The 20,864-nt window shown below is 35.4% G+C and overlaps 1 long non-coding RNA gene across 7 annotated transcripts in view; it reads left to right on the plus strand.

The window, feature by feature from the left end:
- The window catches only part of CCDST (cervical cancer associated DHX9 suppressive transcript), a 177,390-nt gene that overhangs the window by 137,107 nt on the left and 19,419 nt on the right, over positions 1 to 20,864 (plus strand). For 6 of the 7 annotated variants that reach the window (NR_186761.1, NR_186764.1, NR_186763.1 and 3 more), the window contains 4 exons: positions 6,174 to 6,339; positions 8,930 to 9,030; positions 11,580 to 11,680; positions 14,678 to 14,801. This is a non-coding gene — a long non-coding RNA (cervical cancer associated DHX9 suppressive transcript). Of the gene's footprint in view, positions 1 to 6,173; positions 6,340 to 8,929; positions 9,031 to 10,658; positions 10,686 to 11,579; positions 11,681 to 14,677; positions 14,802 to 20,864 lie in introns of those variants that run through there. The other variant, NR_103779.1, reaches the window with a different exon arrangement.

The following is a 20,864-nucleotide window of genomic DNA, read 5'->3' on the forward strand; positions in this document are numbered from 1 at the left end:
CTGTGCTGGTTTCTTCTTGCCTGCAGAATTTCAGACTTTTTTACCTGACGTACAAGCCCCTTTACAATAGGCATGAATCTGTATCTTTTCAATTGTCCCTCTTATTACCTGTATCTCATGGAAAAGTCACTCTAGAATGAGCAATATTTCTTGGACGAGCCCATATTGGTCCACTACTGTTCAAAATCTTTGCGTGCTATCCTCCACTACCTTGACTTGAGAGACCCTCATCCTTAACTTCTCTTTATCTTTTAAGATTCTTCAAAATTACCACCTCCTGCATAAAGCCTTACCTGACATCTCCAGATTTATCAGTGTTCCCTCACATACTCTGTATTTACCTCTCAATAGCACTGGTGATATTTTATATTAATTACTTATTTATATGTGTGCCCCCTGCCCCCTGGTGCCTTGAATCCTGTGTTTCTTCTCACCCTAGCATTGACTGGGTCTGAGTCATCCTTTGTGTCCTTGGGCCCTACAGCAATGCCTGGGACATGATCAAATAAGGGATGCAAGGGTGTGCCAATCTTGTTCAGAGTCAAAGAGATAAAAATATGCCCGAGTTTTTAAAACTGTGTTTAATGTCCTCGTTCTTAACCTTATTAGACCATTGATTCTTTCTTTTGTGGAGTATTGGTTAACATCTGTAGAACACAGATATTCATTTTCTCCTTTTTTCTTCTTGGGTCTAATTTTTTTATGCCAGTAGTTATTGCATTTTTGTCTCTACCATGATGTAATAATGATAGTAATCTATATTGTATACCCATTATGTGCTAGGAATGTGCTAAGATTTTGCGTGTATTAATTTTAATCATCAGGACAACCCTTTGAGGTCATTATTATTCCTCTATTTTAGAGATGAGGGAACTGATACTGATAAGGCACCCAAGGTCACCAAGCAAGTAAGTTACAGAACTAGGATTTAATCTGAGGTTATTCAGACTCCAACTCCCACATTATTTCCACCATGGCATATTGTTCTGGGTGTGAACTTTTATCCTTTTTTTGTTAACCTTATTTATATTTTTAATGTTTTAAACAGTGATTTCTCTCAAAGTACCTATGTCTGGGTGAACTTAACTGTGGAAATCATTGCAGGATCAGCAGAAAGACTAGACCATGGACTATGAGTGAGTGAAGAAGGTAGCATTGAGAGAGTGTCAAGAATGAGGCAATCTTGGATATGACCTTCTTTGGGGCCAAAAGACCCCAAATCTTGCAGAATTATGTCAATATGGAGGGTATTGTTTAGTGGTCTGCTCTAGGACTTTTTTCCTGACCATGTTGTGCTCATTGTATTTTATCAATAACTTAGGTGAAAATTTGGATAGATGGCAAATATTTTTAGGATAGACTGAGGATTCAAGAAGATTTTATCATGTTGCACCAATGGCTCAAATCTGATAAATGAATATTATTGAAAAAGTAAAATTCTGACTCCAGTTCCAAATTACACTTTACAAGGATAGGGTAGAAGACATGAGTAAAAAAAGCAATATTGTGGCAGTGGCAGAGTGATGCCATAGCCAAAAAGATAATGTGATATTAGGCTGCATTAAAATAAACACATTAGCTGGAACAAAATAGGTGGTGAGGTACTTGGCTCAGCATTTATCAAACTATTTCTGTAGCTCTTTGTTCAGTTCTGATGACCATTTTTCAGTAAGGATATGGACAAATTGGTATGTGTTCTGAGTAAAGTAGATAGAATGATTGTCTAGATGAGTGGCAAACAGAACTCAGTGGGATGGATGGATGGATGGATGGATGGATAGATGGATGGGAGATGCAATATCTGTCTTTGGCTATATGAGTGGCTGTTATATAGAAGAGGGATTATACTTGGACTATATAATCTCAAGGCAGGTAGAACTCAGATAAATATGTAGAAACTATAAGAAACCATGTTTTGGCTTTATGTAAGTGACGACTTTTTAATAGAATTGTCCAAACATGCAAATAATTATTTTTGGAGATAGTGAGTTCCCTATTATTGCCTAGAGAATTTTGAACTGGATGGAATCTTGGCATCAACTAGTTTAATCTGCTCACATTGTAGCTGAAGACTAGAAGGACCAATGTGGTATGGCTAGTAAATTAAAAAGTCAAGGCCCAGGCCTCCAACTCAGGGCTTTTCACTCCAAATCCTCTTTATGTTGCATCAGGTTGCATCAATTACAGGGAGATGAACATGAGACAGGGATAATTAGGATGGGAGTTAGGTAGAGGAACATTGGGTAGATGTCTGATAGATGCCCTTTTCAACCTGACAGCTACTATTCTATGATTGAAGTACATTTCTTTGCTTGACTCAGCTCAGCTCAGTTCAAATAGTTATTTGATCTGTGCAGTTTAATAACTGCAGGGGTAACATTATACTGCAAACAGGAGGATAGTTCTTGGGTTTTCATGCCCCACTTCCTGCCAGTCTGGCTGATCCCACTTGCATGCTAGCTTTTTACCCTCAGAATCTCAGGAATTTTTCCCCCTAAGTCTAAGGAATTTTTCCCCCTATTCAAATTCTTTGCTGTTGAATAGTGAACTCTGAGATGTGGCATGTCTTCTTATCTCCAGAGAGATCTTATTCTCCATATCATTGTTGCCACATAATGAAATGCTTTCAGTGGTGTTTTAGGTGTCTGTGGTCACATATTGCGGCTGCCAGCATTTGCTAAGGAGTGAAGGGAACTCCCCCAAGGCAGGAGTTATTGACAAATAATAAATTACAGGATTTCAATTATAATCATTCAATTGCTTGTCCCTCCCTTTTCCTACCCAGTAGGCTGGAAAGGCATTGTGTTGCCATCTGGCCTCTGGGCTGCTGATGTGGGTCAGGTTGTCACAATTCAAGGATCAGCCCTTTGAGATGTGTGACTGAGGCTGTAGGAGTGAAGGGGAGTTGGAATTTGTGGTTAAATGATTTCCTACAGGAGCTGTAGTCATCTTTTGGGAGGTGCTGTTTGGGGTTAGAATTTTTCCAGGTTGAATATTCTCTTGAATTCCATGGCATAGTTGAAGCTGATATTCCTGCTTAGTTAGCCATAGAGTGGTGGAGCAGTATCTGGCTAAAACACTTCCACTTGCAGCTTATATTTGCCAGGACAATGGTGATGGAAAGGAATCTTGATCCCAAGCAAACAAAATGTTCGAATTACCATTGATGCCCTCAGATGCTGCTTTCTTTATAGCCAGTCTCTCTTTCTCTCTCTCTCTCTCTCTCTCTCCCTCTCTCTCTCTCTGTGTGTGTTGTGTGTGTGTGTGTGATAGAGACAGAATGAGAGACAGACAGAAAGACAAAGAGAAGGAGGTAAAGGATGTAGAAGGAATGAGTGTGAGTGATAATAAGGCTTTTCCAGATAAAAGCAGGCCATTTTATGGCAATATGGATTGTCTTTCAGTTTTTCCATATGCCCAACATTTTCATTCTCGGGTACTCATTAACAGTTTCTTTGAGGTTTGGAGAAGAGGAAATCAAGATGGCTGACAAGGTTGGAAATTGAGAATAGAATTGAACGAAGCCCGTGGCAGAGGTGTGTGTGTGTGTGTGTGTGTGGTGGGGGTACATGTGACACACATGTTATTCCAGCTACTACAGATGCAGAAGTCACTGGGGACACACACACACACACAGGCACTCAGAATGTATGTGAGAGAGATAGACAGATATAGAGAAAACAATGATCAAATATGAGCTTTTTGTATAGTGAAGAAATATTCTCCAGGAAGTGCTTATATCAATAAAGCTAATTTTCCCAAACTTATGGTACTTTATTAAACCTCTCAAGTACAACTACAGAGATGGCCAGAGGCATTCTAAGATGTGAAGGGAGGGGGCATTTATGTAGTAACTGTGTTATATGAAAGTTTTCTCTAACAATTAAGGACAAAAGTAATAACAGAAAAAATAACAGATAAAACAACTGATCATCCCATGTAGTTAAGGGAGAAAGCCTTCATGACTTGACTCTTAAATGTTTATAAACAGAGAGACTGTGAGATCTTTAGGGTGGCTGTTTCAGCAATGACTAGTATCAGCAGTAAAGGATGGACCATTCACCATTTCATGTTCCATAGAAACGAACAGTGAGGACTGGTGACAGAGTGATGCAGCATCATGAAACTGGAAAAAAAAAAATCCAGGAGCAAGCCAGAACAGAGACATGATAGCTATTCATGATCAAGGGCATCACCAATATTTTCTGTTCAGACATGGTAACATAGGCTAATAATTACAGGAGAATGTAGATCAGGAGGGACTGGAACTTGAAATAAGCTTCTACTCTCCTTTCTCACCTGTTTCCTTTGTATATAGGGAGATTATAGATAGATAGAATAGACAGACAGACAGACAGGTAGACAGATAGATAAACAAGAATATATTCCAGAGGGAAAATTTCTGCAGGTAACTGAGGGAAATTCAGACTAAGAGATAGGTCACAGTATTTAGGGATCATTTATTCATTCAAGAAACATTTCTTGCCAGTGACTACTTGCCAGTCACCATGCTTGTCACAGAACTGTAAATGAAGAAGGCATGCTCCTTGTCCTCCAAGAGTTTATAATCTAATGAAGAAAGCATACATATAAACAGTATGATATGTGTTATAATAAAGGTATTTGTAAATACCTTTAGGAATACCTTAGGTATTAGTAAATAGCTTTACTTGAGGAAGCAAGCTGTTTTCTTTTAGAGAGGTCAAGGGGAGGTAATATTTGAGCTGAACATTAAAGGACATTAAAGAACATTAAAGAACAATAAAAGCACTTATTGGATTGTATGGGAAAGATCAGGGAGAGGCAGGCCTGAAAGGTCATATGGAAAGGGCTTGGAAGCCTTGGAAGCCTCTAAGTGATGTATATATTATTTATATTGGGTGGCAACTGAAGGGTTTTTAAGTGGAAAAGTGACAGGACCAGATTTTCATTCAGTAAATGTAACTACTGGAAGTATGGATGGCGGATTGAGCTGGATACAGGCAATTTATATAAAAGAAGGAAGAGATAGTAAAATCTCAAACTAAGGCATTGGCAGTGGGATTGAAGAGAAGATACATTTTAGAGGCAGATCTTGGTGATGCATTGGAAGTGGACTATGAGAGAAGGTGCAGAACAAGAGGGAATAGGTTAGCGGCCTGGCAAGCAGTTGGTGTTGGGCAGGTTAGGGAGGGCAACCCAATGAAGTAGACTCTGACAGGTGGACAGAACTCAATGATGGAGAAGGCAGGAATAGGAGATTTCAGTAGGCAGTGGGTAATGGAGAGTTGGTATCAACAATATCATGTCACTAGGTAGCAGGACCTTAGGGCTCATATTTTAGGCCAGGACTTTAATCTTGTAAGTAGGGAAGACTAAAGAACAAAGAAGGTTTATATCATGACCAGGCAGAGACTTTTATCATAACTGAGAAAGATCAAAATCAGATTACCAGCATAATTGAACTGATACTAATTCATGAGCTTTAGGTAACTTCTATTCTTAAATTCTTCCTGCTGAAGACCAGTACTTATTCTGGATGATGGGGACCCTCACCAAGCTTCCAATTCCTGAAGACCCCTCTATCTACTCAGCACTAACTTTTTATCAACTTAGACTTTATTCTCTCATCGTAAGTCTCCTGGTTACTCATTCTTCATAATTCACCACCTACACCTTGTAGATTAGGCAGATGTTTGATTGATATCTCCATGACTATTGGTATAGCACAACACCAGACTACACCACACTCCTCTTACCCAGGTGTAGTTAGGGGAGGGCTCAGAATAGTATATGTGGTTTAGCTGTAGGAGCACAAGGGTTGCATAATCTAGTAGTTTGAGAACTAGATGAGTTCAGAAGGTGAACATCAGAACCACTCTGGAGTTGTATTTACATGTTATTTACAATTTCTGCTCATAACAAAAGTTAAAAAAATTATTAAAGACCCTAAACTACCATATTTCCAGAAGAATCACTGAGACCCAAGGCTCCAAAGTCCTTCAAGTGTTAATTTATGAGACTAATGATGCTCGTTTTTGTTAACCTCATGGATTCTCACATCAGTGGTGACCTTGTTGAGGTAGAGGTGGACTCACACCACCAACATTTCCACTCATTTTATCAGCATTCCCTAAAGTATGGCTTCCTCCATTTCTTAGAGCACTTGTTTCAAGGGATTTATATTATTTTAGGATATCCAGACAACTTGGAGCCAAGTCCCCACAGCTGGATCAGACAACTTTTGGTGACATCTCACAGTGTGGATTATCAAGCCAGTGTATCAGTCTGGAGCCTAGGTTTTTTGCCTTTAGCTTTGCTCAGGATGACTTCTGCTCTTCTATGGCAATACTTGAGAAGGTAAGGTAGTTTTTTTCTCATTTTTTGTTTCATCATTTTAATCCATATTTCCCAGAATCTACCTCTTTCTTTACCTCATTCTATCATTTTTCTAATCAGGCCATCAGTTAGTTACTCTTGCAACGTGTACTCTAACAGCATTTCATGTATATGCTTAAACTAATTCATAGAACATGGTTACTATTAATATTTGCATTTCTTTTCACAGTATGCATCTAGAAATCCTCAGCTATTTTTTGTTTTCTTCATGAAATTTTTAATTCTAGGAACTTTTCATATGAGATATGAAAAATGGTTAAATTCAAATAACACCATGTCCACCATATTGGCCCCCTAATTAGAGCCAAGATCACAAAATCCATGGTGTAGTGTTGAGAGCACAATCTCACACACCTCACAGACTTGCCTTTGACTACTGGCTCCTCCAGTTGCCAGCTCTATGACTTTGAGCAAATTTCTTAACCTTTCTGGGTCTGTTTCCTCATCTATAGAGTAAAGATAATAATACTTCATTTTGATAGTTCTTCAGTATATTAAATGAATTATATGTCAATGGTCTGACACTTTGCCTAGCATGATAGCAAGGTATTCAGTAAATGGTAATTATTAGTTTTATATAACTATGAAGTCTTACAGAATTGGTAAACTCAATATGAGACACTTATTGCAATTGAATTTTTGCATGTGTGTTTGTTTCCATCAAGAGAGAAGAGCAAGAAACATACATCTTTTCCTTTTTCTTTTCCAAGAATTTTTTTTAATTGAGTCCCTCTCTGTGTGATTATGGAGGTTTTTAAATGTCCTTTAGGGTTCAGTGTGATCATCTCTAGAAGATCGGGGAGAAGGTTTTCATCTGTTTTAGGAAAAGAGTAGCTTCAGGAGAATATTGAATGTTGAATACAAATACTACAAAAAAAGTAGCAAAAATTGCTCTAGTACATTTATTGTTTTCCTCCATTGTATACATTCCACTTTTTTTTTTTTCTGGCAACAGTCCCTGATTTTCATTTAAGAATCCAACCATTGCCCATTCTTACTCCTTGTGGTCAGGGTGAGGGGGTGAGTTTATCTTTGACTTATGAGGGTGAAGATGTTGCTTGGATGTTAGTGGACAGGGATGGGTAAGCATGTGACCTGGGATGTCTAAGGCAGAGTGAATCTCAGGACTATTGTGTGAACTACCAATAAAGACATAGCATTCCTCCTCCACCTCTCCCCCCAACCCCTTGGCCCCTGCACCTTGAGATTTGAACAGGGAAGAATGTAGGCCAAGCTGCTGCAGCCATCTCATGACTACATGTCAAAACTGTAGTCAACAGAGGGAAAAGCAGAGCTGAGAGATTGAGAGACTCACCCAATCTTGATGATATACTTTGAGCCTTGGAGTGAGTACAGCCTGCTAGCCCCATTTCAAGACTTTTCAATTACGTGAACCAATACATTCTCCCTTTAATTTAATAAGCTTTGAGTTGTTCTATTACTTGAAGCAGAATTAGAACTGATATAATTGCTATTTACTTTTTGCTGTGTTCTGCATTCATAATAAATATAAAAAACATAGCAAGATAACCAGGGGCATGTTAATGCAAGGGTGGTAATAGAGAAAGGGGAGGAAGAGGAATAACAAGCCCTCCCCTCAGTTCTTTCATGTCTCCTCTTTTCCTTCGGATTAAAGATCAGATCCCTGAACCAGTATCATCACATTATACTTTTCTAAGTTTTATTTTGTTTTTAACTGACATCTAGTAATTGTGCATGTTTATATTTAAGTGATGTTTCTATACATGTTTACATTATGTAATGATCAAATCAGGGTAATTAGCATATCAATCACTTCAAACATTTGTCATTTCTTTATGGTGAGAATATTCAAAATTCTCTCTTCTATTAATAGCTATTTTGAAATATAGTATATGATATTGTTAACTGTGGTTACCCCACTGTGCAGTAGAACAGTCAGATAAGAGGAATATTATACTTTTAAAAGGATAAATTCCTTTGGGGGCAAGAGCAGGGTCCTGGCTAAGTACATGAGGCCTGCCTGAGGAATTTCTATGGAAACAGGAGTGTGTGTCTGTGGCCCTAGCCCTGCTCAGCATTGGAAACTATTTGGTAGTCTGAACATGGTTCCTCCTGTAAACTAAAAATAAATCTTAAAGCCCTCAACTGACTGAACAGACCCTCCCCACCCCAATCTTGGCCAAATGGACCCTAGATAAATCTTAAAAACTGAGTTCCCAGCCATGATGGCTCAGGAAGTCAGACATATCTTGTTATATACCCTCCCTTTTGCAGTGTTTAGACACAACTGGCCAGCATTGATGTGAAAATAGAGAATGTAAGACTGATAGAACAGACTCTTTGTGGCAGTAAGATACCAAATTGTAAACAGGAGCTAAGACCATGCCAGTCAAGGGTTAAGTCACACACTTCTGCACTTAAAGAATAAACTATGTTCTAAATGCCATAAGGTTTCTATTTTTCTTCAGCAGCTAAACAAGCACTGGCCTTCAGGTAAGCAATATGAAAACAATTTGTAGCTCATTCACTGCCAGACACTGACTCCATCCCCCTGTTTCACAAACTATAGCTACAGCTTTGATTAGACGAGAGGCTATTTCAATAACTTTCTCCTGATAAGAAGACCACCGACCGTGGACGGATTCTGGCCAGTTTACAAAGGCTGCATACGTGAGTGCGTTTGTGTCCTGAAACGACCTTATAAAGCCTTATTATAATATATTTAAATGTTAAGTCTCCACCCCAAGGTGAACATTGGTCAGATGTAATATGTACATTTATTCAGTATGTGTGCATTAGGAGGACCACGAATATTCATGGCTCCTTCTGTAATCCATTGAATATGTTTAGTCAACCCATTCAGCATAAAGTTCCTATCCCAATCCCTCCTCTTTTGAAGTACCTGCCTTTCTGGCGTCAGCCAGAGGCCAGGCTTCCCAGCTTGTCAGAATTTGCCTGTCAACTTTGCAACTGTAACCCTCTATGAGAAATATAACTTTCCTTTCAAAATTTATAAATTGTGTAATTTTTAAGTTAACACCCCTCTAGAAAATGATTCAATTTTCCTTGTCTTTCTTTTCCTTTGTCTTCTGAAGTCAGAAATCCAGAATCTGTTTGTTCTTAGGTCTCAGCCCTTTTATTCTCTCCTATGCTTTCACCAAGGATATTCTATTGTAGCAGACAGTTATGTGAGCTTGCAAAATTAACCATTCATAGACTTTGGCCCCAGAGTTTTTGCTGACTTGAGACCATCAGCACTCAGGATATCAATTTTTTTTTTAAATCCTAGGTATAGAGATGTGAGTTAATCATATTCCTTATTTCATGGCACATTGTAATTATTGAGCTATGCAGACTCTTCTGTGGAAGAGTTGGTTAACTTTCATCCCCATTCTTTATTCCCAGTCCTCTCCTCCTCCCTCAACAGATAAATTATTCTAATGAGTTTACTGTATATGGCTTAACTTGTACAGGTGTTTGTAAAGTATCTATTGTTACTTTTATGTTCATAGAGTTTTACTTTTATGTAAGTGCTATTTTTTTTAGATCTCATTCTTTTTTTTACCTTTTTTTTTCATTTAGTATCCATGTTGCAGTATGTAAGTCTAGTCCATTGCTTCTAATTGTGCTGTTGTTTTGCATCTACTCAGTATACCTCTGCACTTCCCTGGTGATGAACACTCAAATTGCTTCTAATTAATTCCTCAGCACTAAAAATAATGCTGCGACGAACATCCTCTTACATATGTCCATTATGGATCTCTGGGAGACATTTTTGGGGGTCATAAACACAGAAGTAGAATTTCTGGGTGGTAGGCTATATGTATACTTGATATTGACTAGATACTGTCAGATAACTCTCCAGAACAGCTTTACTTTCTTACCAGGAGTACATGAGATTTCCTAAACCCACATCCCAGCCAACACCTAGCAATATCTAGTTTCCTAACTTTTTCCAGCTCATTTCACTGTTATTTTGATTTTGATTTCCCTTATCCATGAGTTTGAACATCTTTATGTATATTTGTAAGCCATTTTGATTACCCTATTCTATACATTGCCTGTTCAAATACTTTGTCCATTTTTCTGTTAATTTTCTTTTTTACTTTAAGAAGTTCATTGTATGTTCTAGACGTTAGTACATTGTTATTTTTAGACACTGCAAATAATTTCAATGTGTCTTCTCTCTGTTAACTTTGTTCGTGGTGTCTTTCACTGAACAGAAATCTTTAATTATGATGTAATAAAAGTCATCACTAGTTTTGTATTATGTGTGCCTGTAAAGTTCTATCTACAATGTTCTTTCCTGTGCTGAGATTACTAAGGTATTTTCCCATATTTTCTTCTCTTTACTTTGTTGTTTTAAGCTTCACATTCAGATATTTATTTCATTTGCAGTCTATCTTTGTATGTGACTTTAGGTAAATATCCAATTTTGTTTTTATCTATGGCATGAGCCAGGTTTGCAACTCCTTCTATTAATCTGCCCTTTTCCCATTGATATATGGTACCCACTTTACTATATATTAAGTTCCCATATAAACATACTTAATTTCTAAGCTCCTTATCATGTTTCACTGATCTTTTTGTCATTGCAATAATATCACATTGTTATTATTACTTGACTGTGTAGTATGTCTTAATACTTGGAAGGGCAAGTACCCATTCTTTGCCTTTTTCTTGAAATGTTGACTTACCTGTTCGTGGATCTTTATTCTTCCATAAAAACTTGAGGTTATTGAACTTCTCAAGAAATTCAACACAAATATTTTGAAGTATTTGTGATTGTGTTGAATGTATAGATTAATATGAACTGACATGTTTATAATATTAAGTCATCTCCCCCAAGATATGGAATGTCACTCCATTTATTCAGATAATCTTCTATGTCATTTATTAGATTTAAAAATTTTCTCCATGGAAGTATTATATGTTGTCATTATTTTCTAGTTATTTAACATTTTTTGTTGCTGTTCTGAATGATATCTTATTTTTAAATACATTTTGTAATTGGTTATTGTTGGAGAGAAAAGTGCTTTTAATTTTTGTAACTTGATTGTTTCTGATAAACTTGCTGAATTATCTTATTAGTTGTAATACTTTGTTGATTAGGTGCTTTTTTCTAGCTAGAGAGTCATATTATCTTACCTGCAAATAATGTCATTTGTTTTCTTTTTTTTTTTCTACCAATGTATTTATTTCTCTTTCTTTCCTTATAGCATAGGGCAGGGCACCCCACTATGGCAAACACTAATAATGATATTGCTCCTGATTTTGTTTCTGAAGGGAATGCCTCTAAGATTTCTTCATTAATTATAAGGTATACTGTATTTTTTGATATATTAATAAATTTCCATTTATTTCTAGTATGAGTTTTTATCTTTGATATGCATTGAGATTTGTCAAATGTATTTCCTGCATTGAGATGAACATGTTATTTTAATTTTTTTAGTATATTAATGTGACAAATTTTAAAGATAGGTTATGTGATTTTTAATAGTTTTTGCATCCTGTTATCAATCTGAATTAATTATATATGATTATATATGTAATTATATATAATATGTATATAATTATTAAGCATGTATTTTGTAGACAACATGTTGAATCTTTTTTGTAGTTTTTATCAACTATAAATGTCTCTGTTATTTCATTAGTTTAGGCTATTTACATTTTTGAAATTATGTTATTTTAATTATGTTCATTTAACTAACATAGTATTTCTGCCATCCTGTTTCATACTTTGCCTTTTCTATAGGTTGTTTAAATTTTTTTTAAAGGCAATGATTGGCTGATTTTTTCTATTAACAGATAAACTCCAATTAAATAAATAAACAACCCATATTTGACTATATATTGTTTATTAAAAACACACCTAAAACAAATGACAAAGTAAAGATTAAAAGAGAAGGATGTAAAAGATATGGCAGGCAAACACTAATGCAGTTAACAGCAGATTAAAATAGAATTAAAGGTAAAGTGTTTTGGTAATTAAAGGCATAATATATTTTGCAACCTTTTGCAAAGGGTTAAAGAGCAGTAAAAAGTAACAAAAATAACTACAGATAAACTAATGATTTAAAAATAGAATATTATTGTCAGTTATCCCTTCAAAAAGCTGAAAAAATTGAATATTATAAACAACTAAGTACCAGTAATGTTGAAATCAACACAAAATGGATAAGTTAGTAAGAAAATGTCAATTGCCAAGGAATCTATATCTGACTTTCTATTTTCAACCATGAAAGACTGACTGTTTCAAACTCCAAAGTCAGGAGGCCCACCCACTAGTTTTAGCTAGATCTACCAAACCTTTAAGAAATCCACATTTTGCATGAACTATTCCAGTGCACAGAAAAGAATGAAAATTTCCCAACCAATTTTGTCAGGTACAAAAATTAGATAGTGAAAGCCCAAGAACATAAAACTATAGATTAATTTCACTTATGAACACAGAATGCAAATATCCTAATAAAATATTAGCATATCAATTCCAGGAGTGTCCCAAATTTATTTCCCAAATAGAGTTTACCAAAAGATTCCAAGATCTGTTTAACTTTTGAAAATCAATTAATATCATTTAAAAATAAGTGAAAAAAACATATAATCCTTTCAGTAGATTGAACAAGACATTTGATAAAATTTTAAACTCATTTGTAGTAGAACTTTTCAGCAAATTAGGAATAGAAGGGAACTTTCTTAATCTGATATTGGCTATCTAACAGAAATCTATAGCAAACATTATACTCTACTTCAAATACTGAAACATTAGAACAATGTCATTGAAGTCAGAAAGAAGACAAGGATGCCTACTATGAGTACTAATATTTAGATAGTCCTAATCAATAAGAAATGAGGTAGCAATTCCACTTCTGGGTAGTTATCCAAAACAATTGAAAGCAGGGATTTGGACAGATACTTTTTGACCCACGTTCATAGCAGTGTTATCGACAATAGCCAAAAGGTGGAAACAGCCTAAATGTCCGTTTTGTTAATGGATAAACAAAATGTGGTATTTACATACAATGAAATATTATCCAACCTTAAAAAGGAATGGCATTCCAATACATGCTACAACACAGTTGGGTCTTGAAGAAATTATGCCAAGCAAAAGAAGCCAGACACAAAAGGACAAATGTTGTATGACTTCACTTAGATAAGGTACCTAGAGTAGTCAAATTCATTGAAACAGAAAAGAAAATGATGGCTGCTGATGGAAAGGGAGAATGGAGGATTATTGTTGAATGGATACAGAGTTTCAGCTTGGGAAGATGTAAAATTTCTGGAAATGGAAGGTTTTGACTGTTACACAACAATATGTATGTACTAATGCTACTTAATGGTACACCAAGAATGATTAAAATGATAAATTTTATATTATGTGTATCTTACCGCAATAAATAATTTAGAAATGTGGAATCAATGTTGAAAGAAAGATAATTTGTTCATCAGTTTCAGACAAAATGAACCCCCCAAAATTAATTGACAAACATTCAAAGATAATAAGAGTGCAGCAAGATAGTCAAATACACAATCAGAATGAATACGTTCACAGCTTCCTATACAATAGAAATCACCAATTCAAAAATATGATAGAAAAATTCCATTTGTATTAACAACAAAAATAAACCCCCAAATAAACCTAATGAAAAAGTGAAATACTTTTATAGGAAAAAAACTTACAAAAGGATATAAAAGAAAATCTGAATAAATTGTGAAATACAGCATGTTAAGATGACCAGTTGTCTGAGTCAGTTTGGAAAATGTATGGGGGTCTTTAAAAAAAAATGGAATTACAATATGAGCCATCAACTTCACTTCTGAGTGTATAGCCAAAGGAATTAAAATTGGTGTTGAAGAGATATCTGCATTCTCACTTAAACATACCACTTAAAAATGTACACTAAATGTTAGGTGTTTTCTGTGTGTACACACATGTCTATAAAAATATCTTTAAGTTTTCTGGAAAGAATCAAGCCCTATTCCTCAGTGATTATTCCTGGGTACAGAAAAGAAGTTATTGGATTTGGGATGAAGGTCAGAGGAGGCTGTAGCATATATCTACAAATATTCTAATTTTTCAAAGGAAGAATATATTTCTGTATCATTTCATAATTAAAATCAATTTTTAAAACGTTTTTTATTTGCGGCATGTTTTTGTTGAATGAATGCATGGTATGAACTAATAATGATGTGTTCAGTAATTTTCATGCATATAATTAATAGGAGAATAGTTTTGATGACAATTTTATTTATTTACAGTAATATATTGGCTTATTTTACTAGCAGGCTTGCATGTCTGTTTGTTTGTATTTAGAGACTGGGTCTCACTCTGTTGCCCAAGCTGGAGAACAGTGGCACCATCATAGCTCACTGCAGCCTTCAACTTCTGGGCTCAAGTGCTTCTCCCACCTCAGCCTCCCAAGTAGCTGGGACAACAGGTACAGTCCACCAAACCCAGCTAATTTTTTTATTTTTTTGTGTGTGTATAGACAGGTTCTCACTTCATTGCCCAGACTGGTCTCAAACTCCTGCCCTCAAGGAATCCTTCTGCCATGGCCTCTGAGCCACCATACCTGGTGCATGTTTATGTAACGTGTCTATATTAAAAAATAAGAAAAAACATTGATAACACTTAAAAAGATGGGCTCTCATATTAAGTCCTCCTTTAACTTCCGCTACACCTACACTAACCCATTTCCCTTTGGTTCTATTTCCAAAAGACAACATGAGGTGGTAGGAAAAGCCCTGGTCTGGGATATGGTATGCAGTGTTGTTCTGATTAACAGTTGACATCTATTGGTTGTGTGACACTGGAATTCACTTTTTTCAGATGAAATATAAAGGGAATATCATGGGGTTCCTAACCTGGCAATATCTATGAGTGTACTTTGAAAGGTCTGTAAAGTCCCTGAAATTATAAGGAAACATTTGTAAGTGGGTCTCCGCATTTTTTTGAGGGGAAGGGCATTTAGGAGAGGGATGCTCAAATAGTTCCGGAACAAGAAAACAGCAAAAGGTTAAGAGCCATTGACCTAGATGATCTTCAGTGACCTTTCAGCTGTGAACTTCTGTTAAAAGTAATCCTTGAGGCTTGAGGCTCTTTTTTTGCCCTGTCCTGTTTCTCTTTCCATTTATCAAACTCCTAAACACAAAACAAAAAACAGTTATCAAGTTTCATCAACTATAAAATATATATTTGATTACCAAAGTTAATATGATTATTAAATGGAATAATTCATGTAAAGCCCTTTACCACTGTCTGGCACAGAGTAAACAAACAACAGATAATTTTTTAAAAAAAGAGCTGAGGTGGAATTTATTGGTGTTACAACAGCAAGTTTAAATCCCTAAGCCAGTAGGCTAGGCCTGTGATTTTTTTAGCTCATTGGAGGAAGGTGATAAACTTTGAAATAGTCAGTGATTAAGGCTGGAAAATTCTTTGAGTTCTGAGAAAACCAGTAGAAACTCAGCTTTGTCCAAAACCTGGAAAATGATAGGCATTCAATCAATGTTAGTTTCTTCCAAAATTTGGCCTCATATTCCTCACTTTTTATCTTTTTTTCTCACCTAGAGGGTCCAAGGCCTAGAATGCTTATTAAAGACCTTGCAAAAAATAATAGAGTTACACTTTTTAAAGGTCTTACTAGAATTTTCTATAGCCATGGTTCTCAATATGTAGTCTTGGGGTGCATGTGAAGTAAAAACTACTTTCATCATAATACTAAGATATTATTTGTCTTTTTAATTTTCATTCTCTTACAAGTATCCAGTAGAGTTTTCTAGATGTGTGATGTCACAACAGCTGGAAGGCAGAACTAGGTACTATAATCCAGTTGTCTTCTATTAAGCTAGACATCAATGAGATTTTCAAAAGTGTAAAACAATGCCACTCTTCTCATTAATTGTTTTCTAAAAATAGTTACATTTTAATAAAAATATGGTATGTTAATATGTAATGGACTTGTTAAATGAATAAATACTTTAAAAACTTCTCAGTTTTAGTTTCTAATATGGAAAATATTGGTAGACATAATCCCCATAAACAAAAGCTCTTCATGTTTCTCAGTAATTTTTAAGAGCAAAAAGGGGACTTGAGGCAGAAATCCTCAAGAATCACTTCTGCTGATTCTACTGAGAATTACTTCTCTGTAGAAATAATTGTTCATTAAATGGATAAAAAATACGGAGAAAACTATGGTTTACCTTCATCCTGGACATTGTCATCATGCTCAATCTCTTGTTTTTATGAATAACTTTTAACTTTTTTCTCTAAGTGAAATGGACTTTTTTGCAATCATATTTTTTAGCTAGAAGGCTGACAAGAGCCAAATTCATAATAGAAAACTGATCCTATATGCCAGAAATGCTGACCAAAGCTTGGAGATCTGCCACACAAAATAATTCCATTTGGGAGTTTTTCATAAAAATGCTTGGATCTCCACCCCAGTTAGATCTTCTTTTTAACTGTACTCTCTGATCGTGTTAACACTTTGCCTCCTTCCAGCAGAATAACCTAAGCTTAAGTCTCGCTCTATTGTATGACTTTGACGACACATTTCTTCTTGATCTGACCTCTCTTTGTTTGCCTGAATGACCTTGTTTTCCCAGTTCCCTGGAGCAGGAATTATTCTTTGTCTATCTGGATCATGTTCTTTTGCTCCGAAGTCTCTCTGTCTATACTTTGTGTGAGTGTAAACATATGCGTTCGTTTATATTTTATTTTAGTGACTTTTTAAATTTGAAAGAATGAATGCTCCTTAATTATAAAATAGTCAAGCAATACAGAAAATTGTAATAGAAGACAGCAACAAATCATCACGGATTCCATCATATAGAAATAATCAGTGTTAACTTCTGGAAAACATTATTTCAGATTTCTTTGTATGCAGCTGGATGGAGAGTTAGACAAAATTTATTTAACACAATGGAATCATACCATTTATGCAATTTTAAATAAAAAGTTAACAATTTTCCATAGTATCTTAATTTTTATTCATATTTAACTTGCTACAAAAGATTCCAAAGAAACTTATCTTTATTTTCATTTTACAGTCTTCCCATGCCTATTACTCCAACATCATTTCTTGCTATGCTTCCACATACAACCTATGTCTTAGCTATGCTGGATTATTTTCAGGTTCCCTGAGCTCACTATGGTCTTTCTTACTTTAAGACTTTACGTACACTTAACAAAAGCCTGGAGTAGTTAGTCTCCTCAGATAAACCTGAATAACTCCTGACCATCTCTGGAGACCCACTGCAAATTCTCCTCTTTCCTTAAGATTTCTCTGAATCCTTTCTTCACCTTTAATCAGGGTTAGTTGATCACTTTACTGAAAACAGAGGATCACCCTCTGGTTCCAAATTACTTAGATGTGTTTCTGGCTTTACCAAATTTTTCTAGAATTAAACAGAATTGGCAAATTTTCAGTTCTTAATTAGAACATAGAAATGAAGTGTGGGAGAGGCAGTTTCGCATACTGATCATACTGTGGCAAGTGCTATAATTGACGTGATCAATAATAGTTCCTTGATTATGTCTTATTTGATCATGTCTATTATAGTACTTGCCACAGCATTCATATCTGTTGTTTTCTCATATGTTGGTCTCCTTGATGAACATATAAAGAAAGGAACAGGGACAATGTCTTCTATTTCTAATTTCAGTATCAAGTACATTATCTGTCATTTAAGTTGTTATTAACTTCCCTCCAATGAATAGATGAGTGAAAGAGTGACCCTAATGTTGCACTGACAACACCCATATTATCTGCATCATCTGGATTCTGTCATTAAAATAATCATAGAGAGATTACTAATCAGCCTAGCCCACATTCTTGGATTATATGTTGCAGGAGAGCTGTAGAAATATGAATGTTTGGTCACACATAGGTGGAGCTCAACCATCTGTTCTTTCAGCCCTGACAAAACTAGTCAGGAAAGGTATTAGGAAGAATGGGGCAAGTATTGTAAAGAAAAGAGCAGTAGGAACTGGCAGTAGGAACTAGTAATGTTGCTGGAAAATGAAGCCTATTGGGTATTCCCCTAATCTGCAAATATTCAAATCTAGAGCCTATGTGGTACACTTTGGGAGAAAACATAACCCTTGTCTAGCCTCTGAAATTGCACCAAATGGAAACAATTGCAGGCTCTAATACATTTTTTAATGCTACCTGAAAAAAATTAGTTTGGATGAGACATGATTTTATTTGTTTACTGGTTGATTGGTTTTTAAGACATTCAGCTAGCCTAGCAAGGCAACAAACAACATCAGAGCTGACAAAATGTCATCTTGAGAATTTAAGGAAGAAGAAGGGTTGAACTACTGTCCTATTAAAGCCCTCTTGACAAAAAATAAAGAATGATACTACTGAGTGAGGTATGGAGAATATTTTAACATTTAAAAATTTTAAAAATATATTTGAAGTCTATTATCTATCTATTAGTCTATCTGTCATCTATCTATCTCTATCACCTATCATCGATCTACCTATCTAGTCTATTGATTCTAAAAGAGGAAGCATAAAGTGATTTTTAGAGGAAAGAAAGTGAGGGAAAGTAACATTTGATGTGTATTCTCTGTTAGGATTTTTTTTTAACCTCCATGATCCTCAATTTTGTCTGTAAGGTATGGTTAATTTTTTACTTGCAAGGTTGTTTTAGAGCAAGTGTCTGAAACATAGTGAGTAGGCATTCAGTAAATTTTAATTTTCTTTTTTTAATCCAGAGTGGAATAAATAACACAAATATTGAATATTTTGTACCAAGTTTTAGAAAGCAGCAACCAGTAGATTTGATACAGATTTTTTTGTTTGTTGTTGTTTCTTAATCAGCCTCAGAGGAATCTTGAAGTAATGACTTTAAGCTAGGGATAATCTGTCTGTACTTGTATGTAAGTTCTTGAGCTCCTTAAATTTTGTTCTTGTAGCCAAAGCAGATCACCCTATTTGTGAATTTTAGGGTCTCTCTATATTTCCTCTTCTCTAATAGCCTCAGTATAGGAAACTGCCTCTCCCACCCTTCATTTCTATGTTCTAATTAAAAACGGATAACCTGCCAATTCTTAAAACTTTAATTCTAGAGAAAGTGGTAAAGCCAGAAACACATCTAAGTGATTTGGAACCAGAGGCTGTTCCTCCATTTCATCCTTTTCCTAATTACTGCACTTTATTTGTAGAAAGTAAGACAACATAAGATTTTTATTAATTGTACATTGTGGGGAAATGAAAAGAATAATATGAGACAACTTAACATATCTAAACAATCTTTAGAAAATGAACATGTTTTTCCTTGCAAATTTCATACTTCTTTGTGTTAGATGGCTTTATAATGCAAAAAATATACTTGTGAACTTCTACTGGTAATTCTATGCACTTTTAAGGAGAGTTTCACTCACTTTCACTTACCATGTTTTCCAAAGATTCAGTAAGATGTTGCTTAAAACCAGTTTCAAAGCCTGAGTTAGTGGCCTTTTAATTGTGTCAAATCATTATTAGAGAGGAAGCTTCTGTCTGCTCGCTTGATTAATTTCCAACCAAATCCAGAATTGCCTCAATCTTTACTTTTTAAAGATTTTCTACTTTTTCTTGCTCATTTCCCCACAGTTTACATACCCACCTTTGATTGTGTTAGAGTGCTCCACAAAGGTTGTACTCAGCATGTAGTATTAGAAAGTCTTCTCTGGTTATCAAGGACTCTTGGAACACAGGGACTATGTATTACACTCTAACAGAACAGCAAGTGCATGCAGTGTGTCTGCTACAAACTGACCTTCAATTTCCCTCATCCAAAGGTCATCTTTATCTAGAAAGTTTGTAAGAAGAGGAATTTTATCTTTCTTTCCTCCCATTTTGGCCACCCAGAGTTCCTCTTCAGTGCCATGTACTCTCCATGACAGTCTCAGCCATGGTTTGACATCACTGGGTATTTCTTGGCACAGAAATGCTTTACCTACAGGTTGCTAGCACACAGATGGTAGTAGAGGGGAAATATCTAACGGTATGTACCTATGACACTTCTCTTTCTAGCATCTAAGAAATTCAACTGTTCACAGAGGTTTCACATGGGGGCACCCCAGTTTTGAACTTTTTCTTTGTAGACCATACCTGATGTCTCATTTTTATCTTTCCTTTTATCTTAGAAGGGAGATGTGTAACTCTTTTTGAGTTATTTAATACTTCTGGTGTAATTTATAAGGAACAATTGCCCCCTATTTGATTAAAACATATTATTGAGAGTTTTAGCAATGTGGAATATATTACATTTAAATTTCAAATGGGTGTGGTTAAGGGATTATGGGGGTCATTTATGTACATAACCTATATATTTATATATACACATATACATATTTACACACACATACAATAAAGGCACATTAACGTTTATTCAGGATACCAGTGAAACTTTAGACATTTGTAAACGTATACTTAGAGAATAAAGCCTTTCTTTCTTGTAAATGCTTTAGACAGTGATTAGATTGAGGGAAAGATCAGATGTTGAGT

This window comes from Homo sapiens, chromosome 1 (assembly GCF_000001405.40).
Source record: "Homo sapiens chromosome 1, GRCh38.p14 Primary Assembly".
NCBI lineage: Eukaryota > Metazoa > Chordata > Mammalia > Primates > Hominidae > Homo > Homo sapiens.